At 39.6% G+C, this 16,355-nt stretch overlaps 1 protein-coding gene across 1 annotated transcript in view; it reads left to right on the forward strand.

Moving 5' to 3' along the window:
- Nucleotides 1-16,355, forward strand: part of KIF11 (kinesin family member 11) — a 62,266-nt gene that overhangs the window by 23,508 nt on the left and 22,403 nt on the right. Inside the window, exons 9-13 of the mRNA NM_004523.4 lie at nucleotides 100-195; nucleotides 4,748-4,836; nucleotides 12,171-12,258; nucleotides 13,539-13,727; nucleotides 15,849-16,056. Of these exons, the coding sequence (NP_004514.2) occupies nucleotides 100-195; nucleotides 4,748-4,836; nucleotides 12,171-12,258; nucleotides 13,539-13,727; nucleotides 15,849-16,056 (670 nt within the window). The remainder of the gene's footprint in view (nucleotides 1-99; nucleotides 196-4,747; nucleotides 4,837-12,170; nucleotides 12,259-13,538; nucleotides 13,728-15,848; nucleotides 16,057-16,355) is intronic.

The following is a 16,355-nucleotide window of genomic DNA, read 5'->3' on the forward strand; positions in this document are numbered from 1 at the left end:
AAAATATTACTTGTAAGTTATTATATAACATATTTTAGATAACAGAACTACATTATTCTCACAATATCTTCAGTAATTGACCTTTCCTTTCCATGACAGGAAACTCTGAGTACATTGGAATATGCTCATAGAGCAAAGAACATATTGAATAAGCCTGAAGTGAATCAGAAACTCACCAAAAAAGCTCTTATTAAGGTAACTGTGAATTTTTGTAGAGTAATGTAATCTTGTTTGACAAATGTGAAAATAAGAAACTGAAGTGGGAGATAATAGTTAAACAAGATTTGTTAAATTGCCCATGGAAGGCTTTTTATATAGTGATTTAAACTAAATGTCTTACATGTTAACATATTTTTTTCTAATGCTAGTATGTTGACTTTACCAACTTTATCAACTGAGTTGGTACTCTTAGCAAAATTTTCATTTATTTACATTTACAAAATTTATTTATTTGCATTTTTGAGGTATAATTTACATGCCATAACATCCACCTAATGTAAGCATACAATTCAATGATTTATAGTGCATTTACAGAGTTGTGGAGTATAACCACGATCTAGTTTTAGAAAATTTGTTATCACTATCCAGTTTCCCTTTGCTCCTTTACAATCATGTGGCCACTGACCTGCTTTCTGTCTACAGATTTGCCTTTTCTGGACGTTTCCTATAAATGGAATCATGTAATATTTGGTCTTTTGCATCTAGTTTCTTTTGCCTAGCATAACCATTTGGGGTTCCACTTATAACATGTATCAGTAGTTTATTTCTTTTTATTGCTGAATAGTATTCAATTATATGCTGATAATATGACATTTGGATCATTTCCACTAATGCCATTGTGAACATTTCTGTACATGTCTTTGTGTTGATGTGTTTTCATTTCTTTTGGGTAGATATCTAGGGATTTAATTTCTGGGTTGTATAGTAAGTTTATGCTCTAAGAAACTTTTCCATGTAGCTGTACCACTTTGTATTTCCTACAGCAGTTTATGAGGTCTGCAATTTCTCCACCTCCTCTTTAACACTTGTTATGGTCGGTCTTTTTAATTTTAACCATTCTAAGGAGTATAAAATGGTACTTCAGTACGGTTTTTTTGTTTTTGTTTTTGTTTTTTTTTTTGAGATGAAGTCTCGCTCTTTCACCCAGGCTGGAGTGCAGTGGCACGATCTTGACTCAGTGCAACCTCCGCCTCCCAGGTTCAAGTGATTCTTCGACCTCAGTCTCCCGAGTAGCTGGGACTACAGGTGTGCACCACCACGTCTAGCTAATTTTTGTACTTTTAGTAGAGATGGGGTTTCACCATGTTGGCCAGGCTGGTCTTGAACTCCTGACCTCGTAATCTGCCCGCCTCAGCCTCCCAAAATGCTGGGATCACAGGCGTGAGCCAATACGCCTGGCCCCAATATGGTTTTAATTAGCATTTCCCTAATGACTAATGATGTTGAACATCTTTTCTTGTGCTTATTATCTATTTGTTTATCTTTTTTGGTGAAATGTCTATTCAAATGCTTTGCCCAATTTTAATTGGTTTGTCTTATTAAGTTGTAAGGAGTTCATGTAGTCTAGATACAAGCCCTTAATGAGATATGATTTGCAAATATTTCCTCCCAGTCTGGCTTTACTTTTTCCTTTCCTTGATGTTTTTTTTTTTTTTAAATAAAGTTTTTAGTATTGAGATGATTATAGATTCACATGCAGTTATAAGAAATAATACAGAGAAAACAGGCCAGGCACGGTGGCTCATGCCTGTAATCCCAGCACTTTGGGAGGCCGAGGTAGGCGGATTGCTTTAGATCAGGAGTTCGAGACCAGCCTGGCTAACATAGTGAAACCCTCATCTCTACTAAAAATACAAAAATTAGCTGAGCGTAGTGGCACGTGCCTGTAATCCCAGTTACTCAGGAGGCTGAGACAGGAGAATTGCTTGAACTCGGGAGACAGGTTGCAGTGAGCTGAGATCGAGCCACTGTACTACAGCCTGGGAGACAGAGTGAGGCTCTGTCTCAAAAAAAAAAAAAAGAAAAAAAGTAATAATACAGAGAAATCCTTTGTACATTTTGTTGAACTATAGAATATTACCACGGGGATATTGATATTAATAACAATCCACTAATCTTTCCCAATTTTCCTTACATGTGTATGTGTATTTAATTCTAGACAGTTTTGTCACATGTATAGGTTCATGTATTTACCACCACAATCAAGATACTGAACAGTTCCATCACCACGAGGACCCTTCATATTGCTCTTTTGTAACCACTTTTCTTCCCACCATATCCTTCCTTTCCTGGTACCCAGTAACCTGTCCTCTATCATTTCAAGACTGTTATTGATTGGAATCATACATTATGTAAACGTTTGAGATTGCCTTATTTATTTATTTATTTATTTATTTTGAGATGGAGTCTCACTCTGTTGCCCAGGCTGGAGTGCAGTGGTGCGATCTCAGCTCACAGCAACCTCCGCCTCCCGGGTTCAAGCGATTCTCCTTCCTCACTCTCCCAAGTAGCTGGGATTACAGGTGTTTGCCACCATGTCCAGATAATTTTTTGTATTTTTAGTAGAGACGGGGTTTCACCATGTTCGCCAGGCTGGGTCTCAAACTCTTGACCTTGTGATCCACCCACCTTGGCCTCCCAAAGTGCTGGGATTACAGGCTTGAGCCACTGCACCCAGCAGATCTTTCTTTTTTAGTACTAAGTAGTAGTCCATGGTGAGTATGTACCATACATACAGTTTTTGTAACCATTCACTTATTGAATAACATATGAGCTAATTTCAGTTTTTCTGCTATTACAAACAAAACTGCTATTGACATTCATTTATAGGTATTTATGTAAACATAAATTTTTATTTCTCTGGGATAATTGCCCAAGAGTGCAATTGCTGGGTTGTATAATAATTGAATGTTTATTATTTTAGGGAACTGCCTGTTTTTCAAATTGGCTGTATCATTTTACAGTGTATGAGTGATCTGATTTCTTCACATCCTCACCAGCATTTGGTGGTGTAACTTTTTTATTTTAGTCATTCTGATAGGTGTGGTAGGTGATAGATATCTCATTGTGGTTTTTAACTTGAATTTTTCTAAAGGCTAATGATGTTGAGTGTCTTTTTAATGTGCTTATTTGATGTTTATATATTTATGTATATATAGCATATACATATATTGCATATTTATATATAACATATACATGTATATATATATTTATTTCCCATTATAATTTATTTGGGGAAATATCTGTATATTTGTCCTGTAGAGTTTTACCATAGTATCTTTTGACGTGTTCCTCTGTTCTTTGTATTTTCTTTGTAAATCGGTAGCTGAATCTTGAGGCTTGATTAAATTCAAGTTTTGTCTTATTTATTTTTGGCAAAACTAATTCATAAGCAGTAGTGTCTTCTTCCATTTAGAAGTATGTAATGTCTGGTTCTTTGTCTTTTTTTTTTTTTTTTTTTTGAGACGGAGTCTCGCTCTGTTGCCCAGGCTAGAGTGCAGTGGTGCCATCTCGGCTCACTGCAAGCTTCACCTCCTGGGTTCACACCATTCTCCTGCCTTAGCCTCCTGAGTAGCTGGGACTACAGGCGCCTGTCACCACGCCCGGCTAATTTTTTGTATTTTTAGTAGAGACAGGGTTTCACCATGTTAGCCAGGATAGTCTTGATCTCCTGACCTTGTGATCCGCCCGCCTCGGCCTCCCAAAGTGCTGGGATTACAGGCGTGAGCCACCGCGTCCGGCCAGAGGTATAGTTCTTATAGGAAAGGCAGGACACATGCTTGATTAATTTCCTTTATTTGCCAATTTTGAGAATAATGAGTTGGTTTCCTAGGTTTCTTAGTGTCATTATAAACTCCTAGATTTAAACTATTTGTGTTAACCCATTGTAGTTGTTCTCCTCACCGATGCTCAGATTGGCTCATCTTAGGCCAGGGGTATGTTAGTCTGTTTTCATGCTGCTGATAAAGACATACCCGAGACTGGGCAATTTACAAAAGAAAGAGGTTTATTGGACTTATAGTTCCACATGTCTGGGGAGGCCTCATAATCATGGCGGAAGGCAAGGACGAGCAAGTCACATCTTACGTGGGTGGCAGCAGGCAAAGAGAGAGAGCTTGTGTGGAGAAACTCCTGTTTGTAAAACCATCAGATCTCGTGAGACCCATTCCCTGTAATGAGAACAGCATGGAAAAGATCCGCCCCTACGATTCAGTCATCTCCCACCAGGTCCCTCCCGCAACGCGTGGGAATTATGGGAGCTACAAGATGAGATTTAGGTGGGGACACAGAGCCAAACCATATTAAGGGGTTACATCTTCAAGTGGCTTACTGAGTCCTTTTGATTAACCTAGTAGGCTTTGCTTAGCTTATTTCCTTGTCTTATTTGACAAGATGTTCCGTATTCATCTTGAATATTTTCTGCCTCAGTCCTGGAATCAGATGCTTTTATAAGGAATCCTGGTTCATTTTAGTGTGAATTACTCCTACCAACCTGGGTACTGGAGGTTGTGGTTTTTCTTGGGAAGTCCATATTTCTAGAATGAGTGTATTTAAAAAGGAGCTTTGAAAGACTTTATTTCTAAACAAATTAATATTGATTAAAAAGTATGGTTATAACTTTTTATCATACTTCTTTAAGTTTTAAAAGACATAAAAAGGCTAACTTTACATTTTATTTGTTGCATGTCCTTCCCAAACTGAATGAAAAAAGTACTAAACTGACACCTACAACATTCCTCTTGTGTAGGAGTATACGGAGGAGATAGAACGTTTAAAACGAGATCTTGCTGCAGCCCGTGAGAAAAATGGAGTGTATATTTCTGAAGAAAATTTTAGGTAAGCCCTTGGCTATGGAGTTAATTTCCAAGAATAAGCATTTCTGATAACAGGCTATTTGAAGTAAAACTTATGTAGCAGTAAGTAAAATCTTTATATCCAGTGCCGATAAATACTTCATTTTGTGTGTGTGTGTGTTTTCTTTTGAGACAAGGTCTCGCACTGTCACCCAGACTGGAGCACAGTGGCACAATCTTGGCTCACTACGTCCTCAGTCTCCTGGGCTCAAGCGATCCTCCTGCCTCAGCCTCCCAAGTAGCTGGGATTATAGGCATGAGCCACCACACCCTGCTAATTTTTGCATTTTTTTGTAGAGACAGGGTTTCACCATGCTGCCTAGGCTTCTATTTTGTTTTGACATTAACAAGTAGCTATCAAACACTTTTTAAAAATCTTTTACTAACTTTTAATTTTTAAATCATTAATTCATGTGAAGTTTCAAGAAGAGTACAAGAGAGGTTTCATGTATTCTTCACCCAGTCTTCCTCAGTGGTTATCTCTTAAATAATTATAGTACAAGGCTGGATGTGGTGGCTCACACCTGTGAATCCCAGCACTTTGGGAGGCCAAGGCAGGCAGATCACGTGAGGTTGGGAGTTTGAGATTAGTCTGACCAACATGGAGAAACCCCATCACTACTAAAAACACAAAATTACCCTGTGTGGTGGTACATGCCCGTAATCATAGCTACTCCAGAGGCTGAGGCAGGAGAATTGCTTGAAGCTGGGAGGCGGAGGTTGTGGTGAGCCAAGATCGCGCCATTGCACTCCAGCCTGGGCAACAAGAGTGAAACTCTGTCTCAAAAATAAGTAAATAAAATAATAGATAAATAAAAAATAGGCGCGATAAATAAAAAATAGGCTGGGCGCCGTGGCTCACGCCTGTAATCCCAGCACTTTGGGAGGCTGAGGCAGGCAGATCACCTGAGGTCAGGAGTTCGAGACCAGCCTGGCCAACATGGTGAAACCCCGTCTCTACTAAAAATACTAAAATTAGCCAGGCATGGTGGCAGGTGCTTGTAATCCCAGCTACTCGGGAGGCTGAGGCAGGAGAATCACTTGAACCTGGGAGGCAGAGGTTGCAGTGAGCTGAGATAGCAGCATTGCACTCCAGCCTGGGGAACAAGAGCGAGACTTCATCTCAAAAAAGAAAAAGGAAAAAATAATAATAAAATAAATAAAAAATAATTATAGTACAATATCAAAGCTGGGAAGTTGACCTTGATACAATATGTGTATTAGTTTGTTCTTATACTACTATAGAGAACCACCTGAGACTGGGTAATTTATAAAGAAAAGAGGTTTAATTGGCTCACAGTTCCATAGGCTGTACAGGAGGCATGGCTGGGGAGGCTTCAGGAAACTTACAATCCTGGTAGAAGAGCTAAGGAGAAGCAAGCACATATTCACATGGCGGCAGGAGAGAGAAAGTGAAGAGGAAAGCACTGCACACTTTTAAACAACCAGATCTTGTGAGAACTCATTCACTATCATGAGAACAGCAAGGGGGAAGTCCATCTTTATCACTCGGTTATCTCCCATCAGGTCCCTCCTCCAACATGTGGGGATTATAATTCAACATGAGATTTCAGTGGGGACAGAGAACCAGACCATATCAAGATGTGTATATAGTAGTTCTATGCCATTTTGTCACTTGTATAGATTTGTGTAACCACCACTGCAATCAAGATACAGAACTATCCTATCATCACAAGGATCTTTCTTGCTAATTCACTGTAGTCACACTCACCTCATCTTTTCCATGATTCCTAACCCCTGGCAACCACTAATCTGTTCACTTTTTAAAGCCCTGGAGTAATTTGTTCAAAGGAAAGCTTTTATTGAGGCCCATTGTATAAAACAACAATAATAACAGAGAAAACAAGGGGAAGAAGGCAAGTGGGATGCTAAGGACTATAACTTGAAAATTCCTGATTGTGTTTATCCTTGAAGATATTAGGAAGCAAGACTTTCACAGAGCATTTTTTAAAAGTTAATAGTGATAAAAGATATTAGACCTAATAATAACCAGAAGCATTTTAGTATAATCTTTTACTGAACTTTTTTGTAGATGTTAACACTCTAATAGTATATAAATCATTTAATAAACTTAGTTTTTTCTGTGTTACTTCCAACTGTCATAATGTATTCCATGAATGTGTAAGATGCCCTAGAATCAGAACAATGTAAGATTGTGGGTTAGTGAACAGTTTACCATCACTAATGGAGGTGTTCTTTTTTTGATGCTTTAGAAGTAAAAAATAATTGGTGAGGCACTCAATCCTGGCCTGTAGTCTTTAGAAATGATATTGATTATTGGAGGCTTTCATCTTTCTGATTTTATTTTTGAACTTAAGAAGTAACTTTGGTTTTCATTTGTTTAGTCCCATGATTGAAAATATGGTGTTTGCTCTCTTTTTTTTTAACTTTTATTTTAGTTTCAGGAGTACATGTGCAGATTTGTTCTATAGATATATTGCATGTAACAGGAGTTGGTGTACATATTATTTTGTCACCCAGATAATAACCATAGAACCCGATGGATAGCTTTTCAATCCTTGCTCTCCTCTTACCCTCCACCCTCAAAGAGGCCCAGGTGACTATTGTTCCCTTCCTCATGTCCATGTCTGCTCAGGGTTTAGCTCCTACTTATAAGTGAGAACGTTTGGTGTTTGGTTTTCTGTTCCTATGTTAGTTTGTTTAGGACAATGGCATCCAGCTCCATCCATGTTGCTGCAAAGAACATGATCTCATTCTTTTTTTTTTTTTTTTTTTTTCGAGACAGTCTTGCTCTGTCACCCAGGCTGGAGTATAGTGGTGTGATCTCGGCTCACTGCAACCTCTGCCTCCCAGGTTCAAGTGATTCTCCTACCCCAGCTGCCCGAGTAGCTGGGATTACAAGCACCTGCCACCATGCCCAGCAAATTTTTTTTTTTTTAAGTAGAGATGGGGTTTCACCATGCACCATGTTGGCCAGGCTGGTCTTGAATTCCTGGCCTCAAGTGATCAACTCACCTTGGTATCCTGGCGTACTGGGATTACAGGCATGTGCCACTGCACCCAGCCATCTTGCTCTTTTTTATGCCTGTGTAGTATTCCATGGTGTATATGTACCACATTTTCTTTATCCAGTCTGCTGTGGATGGATAGCTAGGTTGATTCCACGTCTTTGCTGCTGTGAATAGTGCTATGATGAACATATGTGTGCATGTGTCTTTATGGTAGAACAATTTATATTCCTTTGGGTATATACCCAGTAATGGGATTGCTGGCTCAAATAGTATTTCTGTGTGTGTGTGGTTTTTTTTTTTTTTTGAGATGGAGTCTTGCTCTGTTGTCCAGGGTGGACTGCAGTGGCACAATCTCGGCTCACTGCAAACTCTGCCCCCCAGGTTCAAGCAAGTCTCCTACCTCCGCCTCCCAAGTATCTGGGATTATAGGCACCCACCACCGCACCTGGCTAATTTTTGTATTTTTAGTAGAGATGGGGTTTCACCATGTTGGCCAGGCTGGTCTCGAACTCCTGACCTCAAGTGATCTGCCCACCTCGGCCTCCCAAAGTGCTGGATTACAGGTGTGAGCCACCATGCCCTGCCGGTATTTCTGTTTTAAGTTCTTTGAGAAGTCGCCAAACTACTTTCCATAATGGCTGAACTAATTTTCATTAGTAGCATATAAGCGTTCCCTTTTCTCCACAACTTTATCACCATGTGTTATTTTTTGACTTTTTAATAATAGCCATTCTGACTGGTGAGATGGTTTCTCATTGTGGTTTTGATTTGCATTTCTCTAACAATTAATGGTGTTAAACATAGTTTCATATGCTTCTTAGCCACATATATGTCTTCTTTTGAAAAATGTCCACATCATTTGCCCACTTTTTTTTTTTTTTTTGAGACACAGTTTCACTGTTGCCCAGGCTGGAGTGCAGTGTGGCACGATCTCAGCTCACTTCAACCTCCACCTCCTGGGTTCAAGCGATTCTCCTGCCTCAGCCTCCGAAGTAGCTGGGATTACAGGTGCCTGCCACCATGCCCGGCTAATTTTTGTATTTTTAGTAGAGATGGGATTTCACCATGTTGGCCAGGCTGGTCTTGAATTCCTGACCTCAAGTGATCTGCCCACCTCCGCCTCCCAAACTGCTGGGATTACAGGTGTTAGCTACCGTGCCCCGCTGGGTGTATATGATTTTATACTTAGAAAACCCCATAGTCTCTGTCCATAAGCTCCTAGATCTGATCAACAATTTAAGCAGAGTTTCTGGATACACAATCATTGTACTAAAATCAGTAGCATTCCTATATACCAATAATGTCCAAGCTGAGTGCCAAACAAGAATGCAATTCCATTCACAATAGCCACAAAAACAGTAAAATACCTAGGAATACAACTAACCAGAGAGGTGAAGGATCTCTACGGTAAGAATTATAAAACACTGCTGAAAGAAATCAGAGTTGACACTAACAAATGGAAAAACTTTCCATGCTCATGGATAAGAAGAATCAATATTGTTAAAATGGCCATACCACCCAAAGCTATTTACAGATTAAATGCTGTTCCTCTCAAACTACCAATGACATTCTTCACAGAAAAAACTATTGTAAAATTCATGTGGAACTGGAAAAGAGCCCAAATAGCCAAAGCAGTCCTAAGCAAAAAGAACAAAGCTGGAGGCATCGCATTACCTGACTTCAAACTATACTACAGGGCTACAGTAACCAAAACATCATGGTACTGGTACAAAAACAGACACAGACCAATGGAACCGAATAGAGAGCCCAGAAATAAAGCCACACACCTACAGCCATCTGATCTTCGACAGAACATGCAATGGGGATAAAACTGCCTGTTCAATAAATGGTGCTGGGATAACTGCCTATCCATGTGCAGAATATTGAAACTGGACCCCTTCCTTAACGCCCATATACAGAAATCAACTCAAGATGGATTAAAAACTTAAATGTAAAACCTAAAACTAAAAACCCTTGTAAAAAACCTAGGTGTTTGTTCTCTAATACACATGAGGCATAATCTGAGATAGTTTTGTCTGAAAACGCTTTTGGAATTAGTACAGTGTCAGTCAGAGAAGAATCACAAAAACTACAGCCAACATTTAAAACAGGATAATGCTTTATTTAAGCCAAGCTTAATAGACATTTTAAAACCATATCAAAATCATCTCATCCATACAGTAACAATGTTGTATTACCCCTTGGCATTCACTATAAAAAAGCATTTCAAATAATCCCGTTTTACATAAAAGATCTATTTCTATTTATTTTATTTTATTTTTATTTTTATTTTTGAGACAGAGTCTCACTCTGTCACCCAGGCTGGAGTGCAGTGGCGCCATCTTGGCTCACTGCAAGCTCCGCCTCCTGGGTTCACGCCATTCTCTCGCCTCAGCCTCCTGAGTAGCTGGGACTACAGGTGCCCGCCACCACGCCCTGCTAATTTTGTTTTTGTATTTTAGTAGAGACAGGGTTTCACCATGTTAGCCAGGATGGTCTTGATCTGCTGACTTCGTGATCTTCCCGCCTCGGCCTCCCAAAGTGCTAGGATTACAGGCGTGAGCCACCGCGCCTGGCTGTAGAAGATCCATTTTTAATAAAAAGCTAATATATTTCATCAAAAGACTATTAGAATTAACTCTTCTCTTACAGCTCTTTTCTAGCTTTTCCTTTAGTCAACAATATCTCTAGCTAATACGTTAAGGGAATTTGTATTCACGGAAGAATCTTTGTCATTTAAGCATAATGTGAAATAGAAAATTGTTGGTTGTTATCAAAGAATTAGATGAGCAAATACAGGCATTCATTTCTGAAACTGACTAATACTCAAGAAATCAGAGACCCATTAAAGTGGGTTTGGAAGACCTGTGAGCTTTGCGCTTGAGAAAAGCATTCTCTATTTTACTTTTTATGACTTCTTTTGACTTTGACTTCATCTTCTGATATTTTTGTTGAATTTAGAAATTTTTAGTTTCTAAAAACTCTTTTCTGCCATCCCTGTCTCTCCTTTTGAAAAATATAGCATCCTTTTATTTTATAGATCTATTCCTTATCTCAGAAACATTATTAATGTTATTAAAGTTTTCTTTTATGTTTTTCTTTCCTTTGGGATCTTTTTTTTCCCTGTTGTGATATCTGTCATTTGTATTTATTTTCTTCAAATGTCTAGTGATTTTTGGCTGGCAATTAAGATGGATTAGAAGCTTTGTACATGGGTGAGGATTATGGACCTGTAAGTTCACTATAGATGAAAAAGTGGTGATCTCAGTCTTAAGTCTGGGCTTCCATCAGATATCATTCTTTGTTGGATTTTTTTTCTTTTGTTCTAGCCCTCAGTCTTTTCTGAGAAGATTTGCCCAGTTTGCTTGGAGATTTTTCTAGCTGCTGCTATTTTTTGATTAGAGTGGGTATAGGGGGCTGAGGATTCCATCATTTTGTATGTAGATTTACACTTAAATGCTCATTTCTAGTCCCTAAACCTTCTACAGTCCATGATGTCTAGTGAAAGTGAACCTGGAAATTCTGCTGCAATTCCTATAGACTAGTGGCTGTCAATGGAAGTGGTGTTGGGGGACTGGTGGTGGTGGGTGGTTTTGTCCCCCAGAGGACATTTGGCAGAGTCCAGTGACATTTTTTATCATCATGACTTGGATGGTACTGAACATCCTAAAATGTACAGGACATCCCCACAATGAAGAATTATTTGATCCACTAGTGCTGAGGCTGAGAAACTCTGCTCTAGAGAGTAATCCTTTGTTCTCATGAGGGTTATGCGGTGGGGTGAGAGTGGTGTTTGTGCGTGTTGCAGCAGCAGGGGGTGTAATTGCTCTGTATACATACTTTAAGTCTCAGTTTTTAACCCCTAATCTTACCCCTTCCTTCTAAGATACCTGATGCCTTCAAGTCCCACATTTTTCCAGCATTCTGTGGGGCATATTTATATTCTGTATCCCTGATTATAGACACTTAGGTTGCATTCCCTCCTCTCTCTACTTTGAGTTATAGTCCGTCCTCTGTTAGCTTTCTAGCTTCTCAAATCTGGAACACACATGCTTTTCCCCTCATAGGTAGGGATTCTTAGTTTCAGAATTGAGGGCAAGGGAAAAATATTTCATTTATAAAACAAAGACAAGGAATATAATTTGTTCTTTGTAATTTGTATTTATTGCTTATTGACACAGGTATCAAGTGACACTTGGGTATCAAGTGATGGTGATAAATGTTGGAAATGAGTTTGTGTAGCTGTCACAATTGTGTTAGAATACATTTTATAGGAGTTAGAAAAAAATATTAACTGTTAAACTCATATTAAACTTTATTTTAGAGTCATGAGTGGAAAATTAACTGTTCAAGAAGAGCAGATTGTAGAATTGATTGAAAAAATTGGTGCTGTTGAGGAGGAGCTGAATAGGGTAAGCACTTAAAATGATATTTACTGTTATGTGAAAAGCAAATATTGAAAGAAAATTTTAGAATGAAAGATCTAATATTTTTTCCTTCAAGATTTTTTTTTTTTAGACGGAGTCTCGCTCTGTCACCCAGGCTGGAGTGCAATAGCGTGATCTCGGCTCACTGTAACCTCTGCCTCCCAGGGTCAAGCGATTCTCCTGCCTCAGCCTCCCGAGTAGCTGGGATTACAGGTGTGCACCACCATGCCTGGCTAATTTTTTTTGTATTTTTAGTAGAGACAGGGTTTCACCATGCTGGCCAGGCTGGTCTTGAACTCCTGACCTCATGATCTGCCCATCTCAGCCTCCCAAAATGCTGGGATGACAGGCGTGAGCCACTGCACCCAGCTCCTTCAGATTTTTTTGGAAAAAAAAAAAAGATTTTATTTTGCTGACCCTTATACTGAAAGTAAGTTATATCATGATTTTTTACTATCATTAATCACATCAAAAAAGCTGACAGCTTATATTAATAAAACATTACAAGAAATTAACTGAATTGTTTGATTTTGTTATTGAAACTACAAAATAGTGAATGCTGAAGCAGTTTTGTTAACATGTTTATCAGATGAAGGAATACAGATATTGGGAGAGACTGGATGTTAAATAAAAGTAATATAACTAGGGTAGGCAAGAGGCCTGACCTTTCAGGGCCACCCTCATATTAATACCTTTATTTATTTATTTTTAATTATTTTTTAGAGACAGGGTCTTGCTTGATGCCCAGGCTACAGTGCAGTGGTGTAATCATATCTTACTGCAGCCTCAAACTTCTGGTCTCAAGCAACTCTCCTGCCTCAGCCTCCTGAGTAGCTGGACTTCAGGCATGCACTACCATGCCCGGCTAATTATTTTATTTTTTTGTAGAGATGGAGTCAGTCTCGCTATGTTGCCCAGGCTGGTCTCAAACTATGGGGCTCAAGTGATCTCCTGCCTTGGCCTCCCAGAGTGCTGGGGTTACAGGTGTGAACCACCTTGCCAGGCCACATTAACACTGTTATATTCAAATCCATTGACAATGTTGAAGGAAACTGAAGAATTAATAGTACTACACCAGACCTATTATTTAATCTCAAAGTGTTGAGTAAGATTACAGAAAGAAACAGGATGACATATTTGTGTTAACCTACCGGGTAACTTCTTACAACTTTTGCATGGAAATAATTTGTTTCATTTTTCTAATCTTATGAACTAGCTAGATATCCTACCAGCCAGCTCAGCGTTTTTTAAATTCTTATATTTAGGTTACAGAGTTGTTTATGGATAATAAAAATGAACTTGACCAGTGTAAATCTGACCTGCAAAATAAAACACAAGAACTTGAAACCACTCAAAAACATTTGCAAGAAACTAAATTACAACTTGTTAAAGAAGAATATATCACATCAGCTTTGGAAAGTACTGAGGAGAAACTTCATGATGCTGCCAGCAAGGTTTGTCCCTTGTGTTGATTTGTACTCATATTAAGTAGAGAATGGGTAGAAAAAATTTTCTGTGCTTAAGCATTAAATATTCTGTTTATTCACCCCAAATGGTATTTCTGTCCATTTAAAAAACATTATTTTACTATTTCATCCATGTTTTTCTCACTGGAGATGTCGACTTATGAAAAAACTACTCCTGCTCCTGGAGTTTTGAAAATAGAACATAACTTAGCTGGGAGTGGTGGCTCACGCCTATAATCCCAGCATTTTGGGAGGCCAAGGTGGGTGGATGACCTGAGGTCAGGTGTTCGAGACCAGCCTGACCAACATGGAGAAACCTGTCTCTACTAAAAATACAAAATTAGCCGGGCGTGGTGGCGCATGCCTGTAATCCCAGCTACTCGGGAAGGCTGAGGTGGAAGAATCACTTGAACCCGGGAGGCAGAGGTTGCGGTGAGCCGAAATCACACCATTGCACTCCAGCCTGGGCAACAAGAGCGAAACTCCGTCTCAAAAAAAAAAAAAAAAAAGAAAATAGAACATAACTTTATAATATATTTTGTAGACATTTAGAATAGTGATGCTGTGATGCTTTTTCTTTGTGGGGATGATTGAACCTAATTAGTCATTAAGAATTTAGTATGTTCTGTCCAGGCATGGTGGCTCACGCCTGTAATCCCAGCACTTTGGGAGGCCGAGGTGGGTGGATTGCTTGAGGTTAGGAGTTCGAGACCAGCCTGACCAACATGGTAAAACCCCATCTCTACTAAAAAAAAAAAAATACAAAAATTAGCCAGGCGTGGTGGCACATGCCTATAATCCCATCTACTCAGGAGGCTGAGGCAAGAGAATCACTTGAACCCAGGAGGCAGAGGTTGCAGTGAACCGAGATCATGCCACTGCACTCCAGCCTGGGTAACAGAGCAAGACTCTGTTTCAGAAAAAAAAAAAAAAAGAATTTAGTATGTTCTGATGATGAAAGATGTTGAAAGTATTTAATTTTTTTTTTTTTTTTTTGAGACGGAGTCTCGCTCTGTCGCCCAGGCCGGACTGCGGACTGCAGTGGCGCAATCTCGGCTCACTGCAAGCTCCGCTTCCCGGGTTCACGCCATTCTCCTGCCTCAGCCTCCCGAGTAGCTGGGACTACAGGCGCCCGCCACCGCGCCCGGCTAATTTTTTGTATTTTTAGTAGAGACGGGGTTTCACCTTGTTAGCCAGGATGGTCTCGATCTCCTGACCTCATGATCCACCCACCTCGGCCTCCCAAAGTGCTGGGATTACAGGCGTGAGCCACCGCGCCCGGCCTTTAATTTTTTATTAGTTGTACTTTTTTTTTTTGAGACAGACTCTTGCTTTGTAGCCCAGGCTGGAGTGCAGTGGCATCATCTCAGTTCACTGTAACCTTTGCCTCCCGGGTTCAAGCGATTCTCCCGCCTCAGCCTCCCAAGTAGCTGGGATTACAAGCGCCTGCCACCACACCCAGCTAATTTTGTATTTTTAGTAGAGACTGGGTTTCACCATGTTGGCCAGGCTGGTCTCAAACTCCTGACCTCAGGTGATCCACCTGCCTAGGCCTCCCAGAGCGTTGGGATTACAGGTGTAAGCCACCACGTCCGGCCATTAGGTGTACTTCTGAGGAAATAGTAGAACATAGAAGGAAAAAAATTTCTGAGGAAGCATAATTATTGCAATAACTGAAAAAATCAGTTTTCCTTGCTTGTGTAGATGGCTACAGGAAGGGAAATAAACATTACTGGGCATCTGGATAAATTAGCATGAGTTAAAGCATTTCTTCTGATACAATGTCTAAAATTGACTTTTTTTTTTTGAGACAGAGTCTCTCTCTGTCACCCCGGCTGGAGTGGCAGTGGCACAATCTCTGGCTCACTGCAACCTCCACCTCCCAGGTTCAAGCAATTCTCCTGCCTCAGCCTCTTGAGTAGCTGGAACTACAAGTATGTACCACCACACCCAGCTAATTTTTGTATTTTTAGTAGAGACGGGGTTTCACCATGTTGGCCAGGCTGGAAAATTTACTAGTTCTTATCAAGATAAATCCTTGTGTAGATACTTTCATCAGATTCCTTTCACCGTATCCATTTTGTCTAACACTTATTTTTAAAAATATAGCTGCTTAACACAGTTGAAGAAACTACAAAAGATGTATCTGGTCTCCATTCCAAACTGGATCGTAAGAAGGCAGTTGACCAACACAATGCAGAAGCTCAGGATATTTTTGGCAAAAACCTGAATAGTCTGTTTAATAATATGGAAGAATTAATTAAGGATGGCAGCTCAAAGCAAAAGGCCATGCTAGAAGTACATAAGACCTTATTTGGTAAGTTCAGGCTGTTCTGTTCTAGTCTTGATGTGTTAAGTGTAATGTTGATTTCAAAACTGATAATTTTGTGAAACATAGATGACGGTGTCACCAATACTCTCTACCATGCACAAACTATTTGTTCAGGGTGAAGATTAATGCTTTTATTGTCTTTGAATTAAAACAAATCTTTTTTCCCTCCCCACCCTCCCTTCTGTTTTCTATAAAATGTTACATTTATTAAGTAACTAAGTATATAAACGTTAGAAGTAGAAGTCCTCTTTTTCCCTGACTCCGGCTCCTGACCCTGGGTCATT

This window comes from Homo sapiens, chromosome 10 (assembly GCF_000001405.40).
Source record: "Homo sapiens chromosome 10, GRCh38.p14 Primary Assembly".
In the NCBI taxonomy this organism is placed as follows: domain Eukaryota; kingdom Metazoa; phylum Chordata; class Mammalia; order Primates; family Hominidae; genus Homo; species Homo sapiens.